The sequence below is a fragment of the Homo sapiens genome, chromosome X, assembly GCF_000001405.40.
Source record: "Homo sapiens chromosome X, GRCh38.p14 Primary Assembly".
Taxonomy (NCBI): Eukaryota; Metazoa; Chordata; class Mammalia; order Primates; family Hominidae; genus Homo; species Homo sapiens.
In genome coordinates, this window is record NC_000023.11 from 19,382,538 (window position 1) to 19,396,065 (window position 13,528).

Sequence of the window (13,528 nt, forward strand, 5' to 3'; positions counted from 1 at the left end):
GTGACTTAAATATAAACTTAAATATGAATTGGGTTGTATCAGTGAGCACAACAGATCGATGAGGAACAAATGATGGCTTTGGTCTCCAGAGCTGATGCCCTGGCGGGGAAATGTTCAGTGAGTTGCAGAGTTGGGCAACATGGCAGCGCATTACACTTGATGCCCTGTTAGGAAATCCCAGAGCCCCAAGAAGGGAACATCCGATGACACAATATCCCCTATGGGCTCTTGCTGCTGTAACAGAGGGAGAGGTCTTGGCAGGGAATGTGCCTTCTAACGAATCCCTAATTGAGGAAGGATCCGATACTGTGCTGCTTATGAAGCTACCCTCTCTCAGCTCTGCTCTGTGATGCTGAGTCTGGGACTCTGCTTCGCCTGCAGCTCCCCATTAGGCTCCGCAACCAGGTGGCGCTAAAGAGAGACCCTGGAAGGATGCGGGAGGAAGCGGAGACCTGCTGTGTGCTTGCTGTGGCCCTAAGCTTGGCGTTGGACCCTCAGTCGGCCCCAGTCTCCCGCTGTGTGTCACCCCGTACTTCCAGAACCAGCCTCATCTTGCCCCTCAGAGGTACCTGCTCCAGCCTGGTGACACTCCCTCCGAACAAGTTCTAATCTCACCCTCCCATTTGACCCCCAAGCCCCAGGGGTACAGGCTTCCTGATACCTCAGGGCCTCCCTTTCTGCCTTTCTGGTTTTTGGTAACCAGCAAACAGTTATTTCTATTAAATTCTCTCCATGGAAATAACTGGGGTTATTTTTGTTTTTCTGCCTGGACCCTGACTAATATAATCACTAAATTTATTTCTTCAAAGAGCAAGAGAATACATTTATAGATGTATCCAGCAGTAGAAAAGAAACGCTAAACCAAACATCAATGGCTAATTGGCTCTGGTCAAATAACTGTCCATCCTGGTACAATTATTTCCTAATTGAAGCCTATTTAGTCTGCTTAATTCTAAATTTGGAGATTTTGCACAGCAAAGGCAACAGTCAGCAAAGTGAAGAGACAACCCACAGAATGGGAGAAAATATTTGCAAAATACCCCTCTGCCAGGAGATTAGTCACCAGAATATATAAGGAGCTCACACAACTCTATAAGAAAACATCTAATAATTAGATTTTTAAAAATGGGCAAAACATCTGAATAGACATTTCTCAAAAGAAGACATTTGTAAATGGCCAACAGGCATATGAAAGGGTGCTCAACATCCCTAATCATCAGAAAAATGCAAATCAAAACCACAGTGAGATAGCATCTCACTGCAGTTAAAATGGCTGATATCCAAAAGACAGGCAATAACAAATGCGGGCGAGGATGTGGAGAAAAGGGAACCCTCATACACTGTTGGTGGGAGTGTAAATTAGTACAACCACTATGGAGAACAGTTTGGAGGTTCCTCAAAAACCTAAAAATAGAGTTATCATAGGATCCGGCAACCCCATTCCTAGGTATATACCCAAAAGAAAGGAAATCAGTATATCAAAGAGATATCTGCACCCGCATGTTTGTTGAAGCACAGTTCACAATAGCCAAGATTTGGAGGCAACCTAAGTGTCCATCAACAGATGAATGGATAAAGAAAATGTGGTACATATACACAATGGAGTACCATTCAGCCATTAAAAGAATGAGATCCTGTCATCTGCAACAACATGGATGGAACTGGAGATCATTATATAAAGCGAAATAAGTCAGGCATAGAAAGAGAAACATTGCATGCTCTCACTTATTTGTGAGAGCTAAAAATCAAAACAATTGAACTCAGGGACATGGAGAGTAGAAGGATGGTTACCAGAGGCTGGGAAGGGCAGTGGGGACTGGGGGAAGGTGGGGATGGTTAGTGGGTACAAAAAAAAATAGAAAGAATGAATAAGATCTAGTATTTGATAGCACAACAGGGTGACCATAGTCAATACATTTTGGCTGGGCATGGTGGCTCATGCCTGCAATCCCAGCACTTTGGGAGGCCGAGGTGGGTGGATCACTTGAGCCCAGGAGTTTGAGACCAGCCTGGGCAACACAGCGAAACCCCATCTCTACTAAAAAAGTACAAAAAATTAGTCAGGGTTGGTGGTGTGCACATGTAGTCTCAGCTACTTGGAAGGCTGAGGTGGGAGGATCACCTGAGCCCATGAAGTTGGGGCTGCAGTGAACTGAGATCACGCCACTGCCCTCCAGCCTGGGCAGATGGGAGTGAGACCTTGTCTCAGGGGAAAAAAAAAAAAAAAAAAAAAAAAAAAAAAACTGTACATTTTAAAAAACTGAAAAGAGCATAACTGGATTGTTTGTAACACAAAGGATAAATGCCTGAGGTAATAAATACCTTATTTACCCTGATGTGATTATTACACATTGTGTGCCTGTATCAAAATAGTCTATATACCCCATAAATATATATACCTGCTATATACCCACAAAAGTTAAAAATAAATTTGCAGATTTTTAAAAATATGGAGCCATGGTGAACAGCACTCTTTCTAAAGGCAAGGATTTAATAATGACATTCATATTAGTTATTTACTGCTGTTTAAGAAATGATCCCCCAAATCTATCAACTCAAACAACAAATAGTTAGGTCTTACAGCGTTTCTAAGGGTTGAAATCCAGCAGCAACTAACTAGCTGGGTGGACCTGGCTCAGGGTCTCCCAGGAAGTTGCAGTCCAGATGTCAGCTGGGGCTACAGTCATCTGAAGGCTGGACTGGGGCTGGAGGATCAGTTTCCAAGCTCACTAAGGATAGAGCTAGTGGGGGGCTTCAGTTTTTCATTACATGGGATCCTCCATAGGACTGGTTTGAGACATGGCTTCCCTCAGAGAGACTGATCCGAGAGAAAGAGGAATGGCACACTGCCTTTTATGACCTAGTGTCCAGGTCACACACCATCACTCCCACTTCTTCCTATTCATCAGAAGCAAGTTGCTAAGTCCAGTCCACATTCAACGGGAGGGAACTACGCAAGGGTGTGACTATCAGGAGGTAGGGATCATTGGGGGTCATTTTGGAGGCTGCCTGCCACAAATCTGACTCCTGGTGAGCACTTGATGGCTTACCAATTGTCTCCACATAGCCTTGTCCATCTGACTCAAACGACTCTGGAAGGTTAGGCAGAGGAAGCACTATCTACCATTATTCCTACTTTACACAGGAGGCAACTGAGGTTCAGAGAGGCTAAAGGATTCGCTTAGGCTAGAACCCATATCTTCTACCTTCAAGTTCAGAACTACACACCATGACATCACTCATCCATACACTACATCAAGAAGAAGCGCTGCTGGAAAAAAAAAGCTGCCTGAATAAGAGTAGCACGTGTAAGGATTTCCAAAGCCATATTGGAGCATCTTTCCATGTAACTGGAAGGTACAGGGCACTAATGGAAAACTGGGTGCTCCATTTTATTCACTACTGTATTCACAAGGTAACCATCCACTCTCAGAACAGCTAACAGAGAGAGATAAATGCACACAACTATTTCAGATACTCAAGGGAACACTCCCTGGCAGGATGCATGTTGGGTGTGTACATCAGCTAACCCAAAGGCTGGATTCTGTCAAGAAAACCAAGTGAAGATGGCATTGTGGGGCATCTGAATCACGCACAAATCCTGGAAAATTGGGTTTCCTTCAATCTGGCTCTCATAGGCCAGGCACGGTGGCTCACACCTGAATCTCAGCACTTTGGGAGGCCGAAGCAGGTGGATGGCTTGAGGTCAGGAGTTCAAGACCAGCCTGGCCAACATGGTGAAACCCCGTCTCTACTAAAAATACAAAAATTAGCCGGGCATGGTGGCGTGTGCCTGTGGTCCCAGCTACTTGGGAGGCTGAGGCAGGAGAATCGTTTGAACCCGGGTGGTGGAGGTTGTACTGAGCCATGAACGCGCCACTGCACTCCAGCCTGGGCGACAGAGTAAGACTCCATTTCAACAAAACAAACAAACAAACAAAAATCTGGCTCTCTTGGGGCCCCATATGCTCCCTAACCTATATTTCCTCCAAGGTATGCCCTACCACACTGGTCACTGGTCACAGCCCACTACGGCTCTTAGGTACCTACACCAGTGCAGTGGTGCAGAGTTCAGAACAAGGTGACCAAGAGACCCACAGGCACTGACTCAGCCCCCCTAGGGCACAAAATCCACTGGGGACTCCTGGAGAATTGTCCAATAGGATTTTCAGATTACCAGCAAAGAAGACACACAGCAGAAGACACAAGTTTATAACCGAGGCCCAGGGACCTTCTAATCTGATCAAGGGGCTGAGAGAGTTGACAGAGTAGTTTAGGGGGGTGGTGCTGAGACAGCTTCTTTAGAGAGAGCTATGCTGGGCTGCCTACCCTCTCCCAAGTTACAGGATTTGGGGCAGGACTGTCCCCAAAAGGGCGTGGGCCCAGGGCAACTCAAGCCACTCAATACCAACTTATGATCATCACATCTTCCACAGGCCCTTGGAGATACCGTTAGAGCCTAAATTTCAAGATTTCATATTAATCAAGTACAGAAAAGAAAAGTAAGGTACGATTTTCCCATAGTCCAGGGGACTACCCTAGTTGACCTGACCAAGGGATAAGCCTGGTGGAAAGGTGGCGCCACTTGTTCCTAACCCAAAGCCTTTGAAGGGGGCTTCACTGAGCGACTCAGCTCCATGTGTATGTGTTCCTGTAGGTAAATTACACAGTGGACTGGCACCCAAGTGAGCAAAGGTTAACTTCCAGCAGCAGACAGGGGGCTGTAAGGTGTGGGGATACTGCCACACCCTCTCAACAGTGGGCTGAAGCTGCTTGAACTCTGGACACCAGATGGGGGACCCTATTACAGAAATACTGCCTTAGGGTTTATCTTTTATTTGTATTATTTATTTGATTGATTGACTGATTGACAGGGTCTCATTCTGTCGCCCAGGCTGGAGTGCAGTGGCACAATTATGACTCACTGCAGCCTCATTCTCCTGGGCTCAAGTGATTCTCTCACCTCAGCCTCCCGAGTAGCTGAGACTACAAGTGCGCACCACCACACCCAGCTGATTTTTATATTTTTGGTAAAGACGGGGCCTCACTATGTTGGCCAGGCTGGTCTCAAACTCCTGGGCTCAAGCGATCCTCCCACCTCAGCCTCCCAGAGAGCTGGGATTACAGGCGTGCCCAGCATATGGTCTTCTTAAAAGGAATCCTGGGAGTCTCTCTCAGAACCTATTCTGGTTCCAGGGGCTGCCCAATAAAAAAATAAAGAAAAAAGAAAAGGAATTCCTGCTCAAACGCAGTCCTCCACGATCTGAATCCCTCAACAGAAAGAGATGGAAGGAGGAGGTGATGTAAGGGGTAAATAACTGGGAGGAGGGGGCTGTCAGCCAAAGGACAGGCCCCTGCCCACGACACAGGAGTTACATCCAGAGGGAGCCAGCGAGGGAAGATAACTAAACATCAGCCAGGCCCACAGCACGCAAAGCCAGCTTCCAACAGTGCTAGTCAAGTAACAACTTTCCCTGCCCCTGTCCTCTCCTTCCTGCAGCTGGTGATTAGGGAGAAAAAGACAACACCCAGCTCCTGACCACAGGTCGCTGCCTGCAGGGAGACGGGAGAGGGGTCTGACTTTTGAATGAGGACCAGAGCGTTGATCAGTATCAGCCTGAATCTTTTTTTTTGAGACAGGGTCTTGCTCTGTCACCCAGGCTGGAGTGCAGTGGCACAATCGGCTCATGCAACCTCCGCCTCCCGGCTTCAAGCGATGAGTCCTTTTTAATTCCTGAATTCAGACTGTGTGCGCTCCTTCAAGTGTCATTATGACTTTCTCTGTTATGTAAGGGTGGCTGGAAAAGTCAAAGGAAAGAACTCCCGCCCCAGGCAGGATGAAAAGTGGGAGAGAAAAATCCAGTGGCTTTTGTGATTACACCCTTTGAGTCCAATGGGTTCAACACGTTAGTTACACACACAAACTCAGTTCTCTCAAAGGCTCCTTCCAGCTCTAATAACCCATGACTTCTAAGTACAAGCGAGTATTTAATTAGCAAACACTTCAATTGCACTTGCTATGTGCCAGGGACCAGTCAAAGCACTTCATCAGTAACTCACTTTACCCTCATAAAAACCCTATGAGTAGGTACAACGAGCATTTCTATTTTACTTACGAAGAAACTGAGGCACATGGAGGTTAAGTAATATGCCCAAGGTCACACAGCTAGCAAGTGGTTGGGCCAGGATTTGAACCAACGATGTTTGCAGCCAGACGAGAACAGACTTCCTGTCCCGAGTTCTCCCTCTAGGTATCTACCCAAGAAGGCTGAAAACACATGTTCACACACGCTTTGTATGTGAATGTTCACAGCATCATTATTCGCAGTGGCCAAAAAGTAGAAACAATCCCAAATGACTGTTAACTGGTAAACGGATGAACAAAATGTGGTTCTCCACACAATGGAATGCCATTCAGCCATGAACAACAACGAAGTACCCATACACACCACTGCATGGAGGAACTGCAAAAACAGGACTCAACGTGCAAGAAGCTACATGCAAAACCCCACATATTGTATTCATTCCAAGCATATGAATATCCACAACGGGCAAAGCCACACAAACACAACAAAGCAGATGAGTGATGAGCTGGGGCTGGAGTGGGAATGGGGATGAGTACCAAGGGGCACGGGGTCTGCTAGGTCCAGACACTGGATCGTGGTGATGGCTGAGCAACTCAGTAAATTTACTGAAAACCAAAGAATTGAGTACTTCTAATGGGTGCTTTGATGATATGTCAGCTATACCTCGATAAGGCTGCTAAAAAAAAAAAAAAAAAAAAGGCAGGGCTGACCCTGGCTATAACAGCCCTTCCTCCTGTTCTCGCAGGTTCCTATGTGTGGGGCAAACCCTTCAGAGGAACACAGGGAGGGAGGGCTCCAGGCCAGGAAGTTGACTGAAACCCTCTGGCTCTCCTGCCAGGCTGAGCAACCACAGACCCAGAGTTCTGCACCAACCAGCTGAGATTTCCTTACAGAACTGCTCTGTTTTGCAAAGAGCAATTATATGCGGGGGAATTTCCTAACCAAAATGAGACCCCTTCCTTATTATCCCCCAAACACCCCTGCATTCTTTTGCAATGCAAAATCCGTGCCTCCCCAAGCCAATTACTTGGGAAGTGTGATATGCAAGGATGAATTATACATGTGTTTCTTTGTGAGTTTGTTTCCTCCTCAGGGAAGCTAATTATGAGATAAATTGTTGGGGGTTTTATGTCTTCAAATAACTCCTTGTCATATCAGAGCCCCTCTTGCTATGTATTGCCAAGCTAATTGGTGGCTTCCAAAGAGGAGGATACAAGTCATTTTCAATTAGGGTAGTAAAATGCTAAAAGAAAATGAAGTGCTAGTCATACACACATATTCATATACACACATTGACAGATGTATACGTATATTTATACCAGAAACAATGAATGAAAATTCAATGCACTCTTTCTTTGGGAGATTCTGATAGTGTCCCTGGTATAGTATTTTCCCATTTTCAGGCACATGTACCTCCCCTTGTGTTACAAGTGAGAAGTCATTTTGTGATGTATTAAAATTCTCTTTAGATGGTGAATGTGTCTCCACTGTGGGTGTCCAGTGGCTGACACGCGACAACTCTCTCATTGACAAAAAGTCTTTCAAAGCTGACACATTATTTACCAAAAATAAGACCCAAGCTGTCCACCCTACAGCTTTGGTGACTGCAGAGATAGAGAACAGTCACCTGTCTTTTATAGCTTATTTCAGAGCTATATTATTTTAAGAGCTAATTTTTTCTTTTTTTTTTTTTTTTTTTTTTGAGACAGAGTCTCACTCTGCCACCCAGGCTGGAGTGCAGTGGCACAATCACAGCTCACTGCAGCCTCAACCTCCTGGGCTCAAGCGATCCTCCCACCTCAGCCTCACTAGTAGCTGGGACCATAGGCGCACACCACCACACCCAGCTAATAATTACTATATAATATATGTTATATACATATATTATATATAATCATTATGTATTATATTATATATAACATATAATATATAAATATAATATGTAATAATAATAATTATTTATTTTTTGTAGAGATGGGGTTCTCCCTATGTTGCGCAGGCTGGTCTTGAACTCCTGAGCTCAAGTGAGATCCTCCTGCCTCAATCTCCCAAAGTGCCCAGCCTATGAAAGCTGTTTTTTTTTTTTTCTTTTAAGAAATGGGGTCTCACTATGTTGACCACGCTGGTCTTGCACTGCTGGCCTCAAGTGATCCTCCCATCTTGGCCTTTTAAAGTGCTGGGATTACAGGTGTCAGCCACTATACCAGGCCCCAGCTGTTTCATAATTCCATCAAGCAAGATCTTTGTGATCTTTACGTTACTCCTTGGGGGACTATAAACCTTTACTTATTCAAAAATCAGTACTTCTTTCCAAGGATCAAAGTTCTTGTTATTAGTCAGGTTTAAGCAGGAATTTCCAATAGCCACAAGTAGCTTTTGACCATCATTCTACTTATTGATCTTACAACTGTGAAACTAGCTGGTAATTGTATACCACCCTTTGAACCCAGTCCCTCTCAATGCTCAAGTTATTCCATTACTGACACATGGACAAGAAAATCCAATTCCTCAAAATCACTTAGAATACCATATTCCCCAGGAAGAATTAGCCTCTCTTGGAAACACAATCATATCAAAACACAAGGTACCAGAATTCACTACAGTAACAGGCTATTTTTATGACAGACCAATAAAATGTCTTAATCAGTTGTCTGAGGAATACTGTTATTCAGCATTACCCACGATTTCAGATAATGTGCTATTAACTTTAAAGAGATGTGCTGCCATCTTGCTGATTGGTTGAGTGACCTTCAGAAAGCCTCAGCAGAGGCCAGGCGCGGTGGCTCACATCTGTAATCTATCCCAGCACTTTGGGAGGCTGAGGTGGGCGAATCACTTGAGGTCAGGAGTTCGAGACCAGCCTGGTCAACATGGTGAAACCTCGTCTCTACTGAAAATAGAAAATTAGGTGTGGTAGGGGGCGCGCCTATAATCCAAGCTACTTGGGAGGCTGAGAGACGAGAATCATTTGAACCCAGGAGGTGGAGGTAGCAGTGAGCCGAGATCGTGCCACTGCACTCCAGCCTAGGCGACAGAGTGAGACCCCGTCTCAAAAAAAAAAAAAAAAAAAAAAGAAAGAAAAAAAGAAAAAAAAGAAAAGAAAACCTCAGAACCTCAGCAGAGCACTCCATCTACCCAACTTTTGGATGACAAAGAAGAAAGTAGGGCAATCTTGTTGCCACAAGTAGCTGGCTAGGTGCATCACTATGACAAAGTTAAAACAATTTGAAGTTGGGGACAATCCACTGTCTACTTCAAGTATCAATTGCTCACTCTGCTCAGAAAAGGTGCTCACTAAGTAACGGCTGAACAACCGCAGCTTGTGCAGAAAGCGTAACTCTGGGATGGGCACCCTGTGCCAAGCTTTGGTCCACTTACCAGTAAAAGTCTCTGTGCAGGGGTTCACACCCGCAAGACGTTTCGAGGTTCCAAAATCGGAGATTTTCACCACTCCGCTGTAGGTGTTCACCAGAACATTATCGCCCTTCGGAAAATAACATCATCAAGTGCTTAAAAGACAGGCTGAAACGAACTCATATGAAACAGATCTGGACCTTGGGAAACCGTCACAAGTCTCTAGGAAAACTAGACTTTGCATTTTGGGGACGGTTGTGCTAAATCATACCCCTCTGTCAGCCAGTCACTCAGCAGACACCATCGACAGCTCTCATGATCTGATACGAGCAAAGGCAACCTCGTCAGCTTAAAAAAGCAAGTACCTTTATGTCTCTGTGCACGATCTGGTTTTCATGAAGATACTTAAGGCCCTCCAGGATCTGTTTGGTGTAAAACTTGATTGTCGGTTCCTTCATCGGCCCCCATTTGGATCGCAGAAGAGCAGAAAGGCTTCCTAGAGACAGTCACAGCAAAAAACTTATCAGGAAGAGAAAGTTTCAATAAAAGTTCAGGGAAATAAAGTGAGGTGAGGTTTCTAACCTAACCTAAGTGCTTACACCAACACCATCGGATCTGGGCTAAATGCAACATGTTTCCTCCCCTCTGTAGCTACAGCCAGGGAATGGACTGGAAGCAATTGAGCACATGAACCTAACCAGAGGCACAGGGTGAACATGAACCCCTTGTGCCCCCTGAAATTCAGTGGGGCCAATTGTGGGTTTAGCTCTGTTCAGCTACATGAAGTTAGGAGGAGAGCGAAATAATGCTCTCTCAACTTGAGGGGCATGGCCTGCTGGCGTAGATAACTCAGGTCCCATGACACTTGTTTACAGCAGGTCTGTCTCAGTCATTCTGCTTGGGTTAAAGCCACGTTTTATACCTTGTCTGTAATCAGAGGTGGACAGGTCCACAGTGAGGGGCCCTTTAGGGTGACAAGGACTAGGACTGGAGGAAGTTGGGTCTCTCTGTCCTCAATGTGAGAAAGCCACAGTGGCAAGTCTCAGGGCAGGACTGTCTTGATCAACAACCACTTCCCCCAATTACGCTATTAAACACTGAACATTTGGGCCAAAAGAAAAGCTCCCTTAAGGACACTGTGACCACGTCTCGAAGGACATCATGTGAACTGCGGGATGTCCTGTCCATTGGCAGGAACGGGCCCTCAGACATCGGCTGGTCTCAGATTCCCACTTACACAGTGTTATGGGACCTTGATCTACCTTGGTTTCCCCATCTATAAAAGGGGATGAACACATCTGTCTCTATTTCTGTTGATACCCTTAAACCTAACGCCGGGGATGGGGTTATCAACTAACGTGAAGAGTAAGGGGCCGGGCACGGTGGCTCACGCCTGTAATCCCAGCACTTTGGGAGGCCGAGGCGGGCAGATCACCTGAGGTCAGGAGTTCAAGACCAGCCTGGTCAACGTGGCAAAACCCCATCTCTACTAAAAATACAAAAATTAGCCAGGCGTGGTGGCACGCACTTGTAATCCTAGCTACTTGAGAGGCTGAGGCAGAGAGAATTGCTTGAACCCAGGAGGCAGAGGTTGCCATCAGTGAGCCAATATCGTACCACTGCACTCCAGCCTGGGCAACAGACAGAGAGACTCCATCTCAAAAAAAAAAAGAAAAAGCAGCAATGGACGAGTTTTCTGATAGACTATGACCAACTTAAGGGAAAGACAAACTACTTTATTTATTCTAACATAACCCTGAAAATCTAGCCCACTGCCTGGCTCTTTTTTTTTTTTTTTTTTTTTTTTTTTTTGAAGACGGAGTCTCACTGTGTAACCTAGAATGGAGTGGAGTGGTATGATCTTGGCTCACTGCAACCTCCTCCTCCTGGTTTTAAGCGATTCTTGTGCCTCAGCCTCCGGAGTAGCTGGGACTACAGGCGCACGCCACCACACCTGGCTAATTTTTTGTATTTTTAGTAGAGAGGGGGTTTCTCCATGTTGGCCAGGCTGGTCTCGAATTCCTGGCCTCAAGTGATCCACCTGCCTTGGCCTCCCAAAGTGCTGGGATTACAGGCGTGACCACTGTGCCTGGCTGACTGCCTGGCTCTTAATAAATATACTTAAGACTCTTCCTGTAATAGCAGACTCTTAATAACTGTCAGTTGAATGAATGAATGAAGATTTCTAACTGAAGTTTTAACATCTGTATTCAGATAACTATTATTTAATTAAAGAGTTTGATTCATTATTTCAATGAGCACTTACTGAGCTCTTGTTCTCTGCCAGACAGAATCCACCCAACAGCCCACTGAGACAGCGTTAATTGTTACTCCAATAATTATTACTCCAATTATCAGAGTCATTATTACTCCAATTTTACAGTTCATTTATTCAATCAGAAAACTGAGGGCACAGAGAGGTATAACAATTTGCCTGAAGTCACACAGCTTGTGGATGGAGGAACGGACTCAGACTAGATGGTCTGGGTCCAGATCCCAGGAACTCCCCTCCTGTGCCCTATCTCTTGCATTCAGGGATTTTTGTGGATAAAACACTGATGCTTGATTTCATTATCAAAATGCTATTTTGCACTGTCACTTTTAACATCTATGTTCCCTCTTCTGCACCCTTGTCCAAACCCACCTTTAAACTCCTAGACTGTGAAGGCCTCAAGGCCAAAGACTATGTTTTCTCCATAGACAGTCAATGAATATTTGTGGGTTGAACAAACTGCATCAACAAACCAGAAATAGACTGCTTATATGACATTTGGAAAGTATCCAACTTTCCAACATCTAAAGGGTCTGTTGCTTTTTTTTTTTTTTTTTTTTTTTTTTTTTTTTTTTTTTTTTTTTTTAAAAAGAGTGATGGGTTTTGCTCTGTCGCCCAGGCTGGAGTGCAGTGCTGTGATCATGGCTCACTGCAGCCTTGACCTCATGGGCTCAAGTGATCTTCCCATCTCGGCCTCCCAAGTAACTGGGACTACAGGCGCCCTACAGGCCTGGCTTAGGGGTCTGTCATTTTGTAAATGGCAGGACAACAAATGACATCCACGTCGTAGTGATTTTCAGAATGTGAGACCAGAAGACAGCGACTACTCACCTCCAGGCACCTGCTCCATAAATATCTTAATGTAGCCGTTCTCTGAAACAGAGCCCAGGTACTGAACGATATTGCGGTGCTTAAGGTACTTGTGCAGGGCTATCTCCTCGTGCAGAGGCTGAGAATACCTATTGGGAAAAACAGAGCCAGGGTCACCTGCCAAATCCCAGGGACTCTAGAACCACATCTCACCTCACCAGGACCTGCCCCACTGCTGCCCATCCCTTCTTTCTGGAAACTTTCTTTTCTCTGGCTTCCATGAAACTATTCAACTTCCCATCTGTACAATAGAGGATAAGCCTACAGCCATGCAGGGCTGCCAGGGGCCAAGGCATGTCCATTTCATTAAGCACTTAGTGGAGTAGCTGGTGTGTGGTGAGTATTCAATGAATGACTGCTATTGTTACTACTGTTATTTTTCGGGCCTGAACCCACCAACCATTCTTTACCTCTCTCAACAGCCCCTCTTCCTCTGCCTCCCATGAAGAGTGGTGTTCTGGAAGGTTCTGCCCTCAGCTGCCCTCTCGTCTTATTCTACAGAGTCGCCCCAGACCACAACAGCAGCCACCTAATGGGCCACCCAGCCCCAGCCTCTGGCCTTTTTAATCCATTCCCCAACCTTGGCCATTATACTACCTCTTCTTAAAACACACACTTCACCACATCCCTTCCCCACATAAATTCCACATAGAGACCATGCTATTTAATGTCACATACAAGGACTTTCAAAGATCAGTTCAGGCTAAGCCTTAAAAAATTTTTTTTTGGCCTCATTTCAAGAGCATCTCACTGCCCTGCATCCTACATTCAAGTCATATCAGACAATCTGTTGTTCTCTGAATATACTTTGTGTTTTAACAGCTCTGTTTTTCCATCAGCATAGGCCTCCTTTTCCGCTAAACAAATTCTTACTCATCCCTCAAAGTGCAGCTCAAAGTTGATCTATTTTTTCAAACTTGCCACAACTCACTAAGGAGAGTAATTC

The 13,528-nt window shown here is 45.3% G+C and overlaps 1 protein-coding gene across 7 annotated transcripts in view, besides 1 other annotated feature; it reads right to left on the bottom strand.

Moving 5' to 3' along the window:
- Window positions 1–13,528, bottom strand: part of MAP3K15 (mitogen-activated protein kinase kinase kinase 15) — a 155,450-nt gene that overhangs the window by 22,479 nt on the left and 119,443 nt on the right. For 6 of the 7 annotated variants that reach the window (NM_001001671.4, XM_011545508.4, XM_011545507.4 and 3 more), the window contains 3 exons: window positions 12,544–12,671; window positions 9,806–9,936; window positions 9,465–9,570 (listed from right to left, as the gene is read on the bottom strand). In NM_001001671.4, the coding sequence (NP_001001671.3) occupies window positions 9,465–9,570; window positions 9,806–9,936; window positions 12,544–12,671 (365 nt within the window). Of the gene's footprint in view, window positions 1–9,464; window positions 9,571–9,805; window positions 9,937–12,543; window positions 12,672–13,528 lie in introns of those variants that run through there. The other variant, XR_007068188.1, reaches the window with a different exon arrangement.
- Window positions 481–540: an enhancer, noted in NCBI's record as "active region_29463". NCBI's record gives its function as "activates an Ori minimal core promoter by ATAC-STARR-seq in GM12878 lymphoblastoid cells {active_cell/tissue: GM12878}" and the evidence as "EXISTENCE:reporter gene assay evidence [ECO:0000049][PMID:35858748]".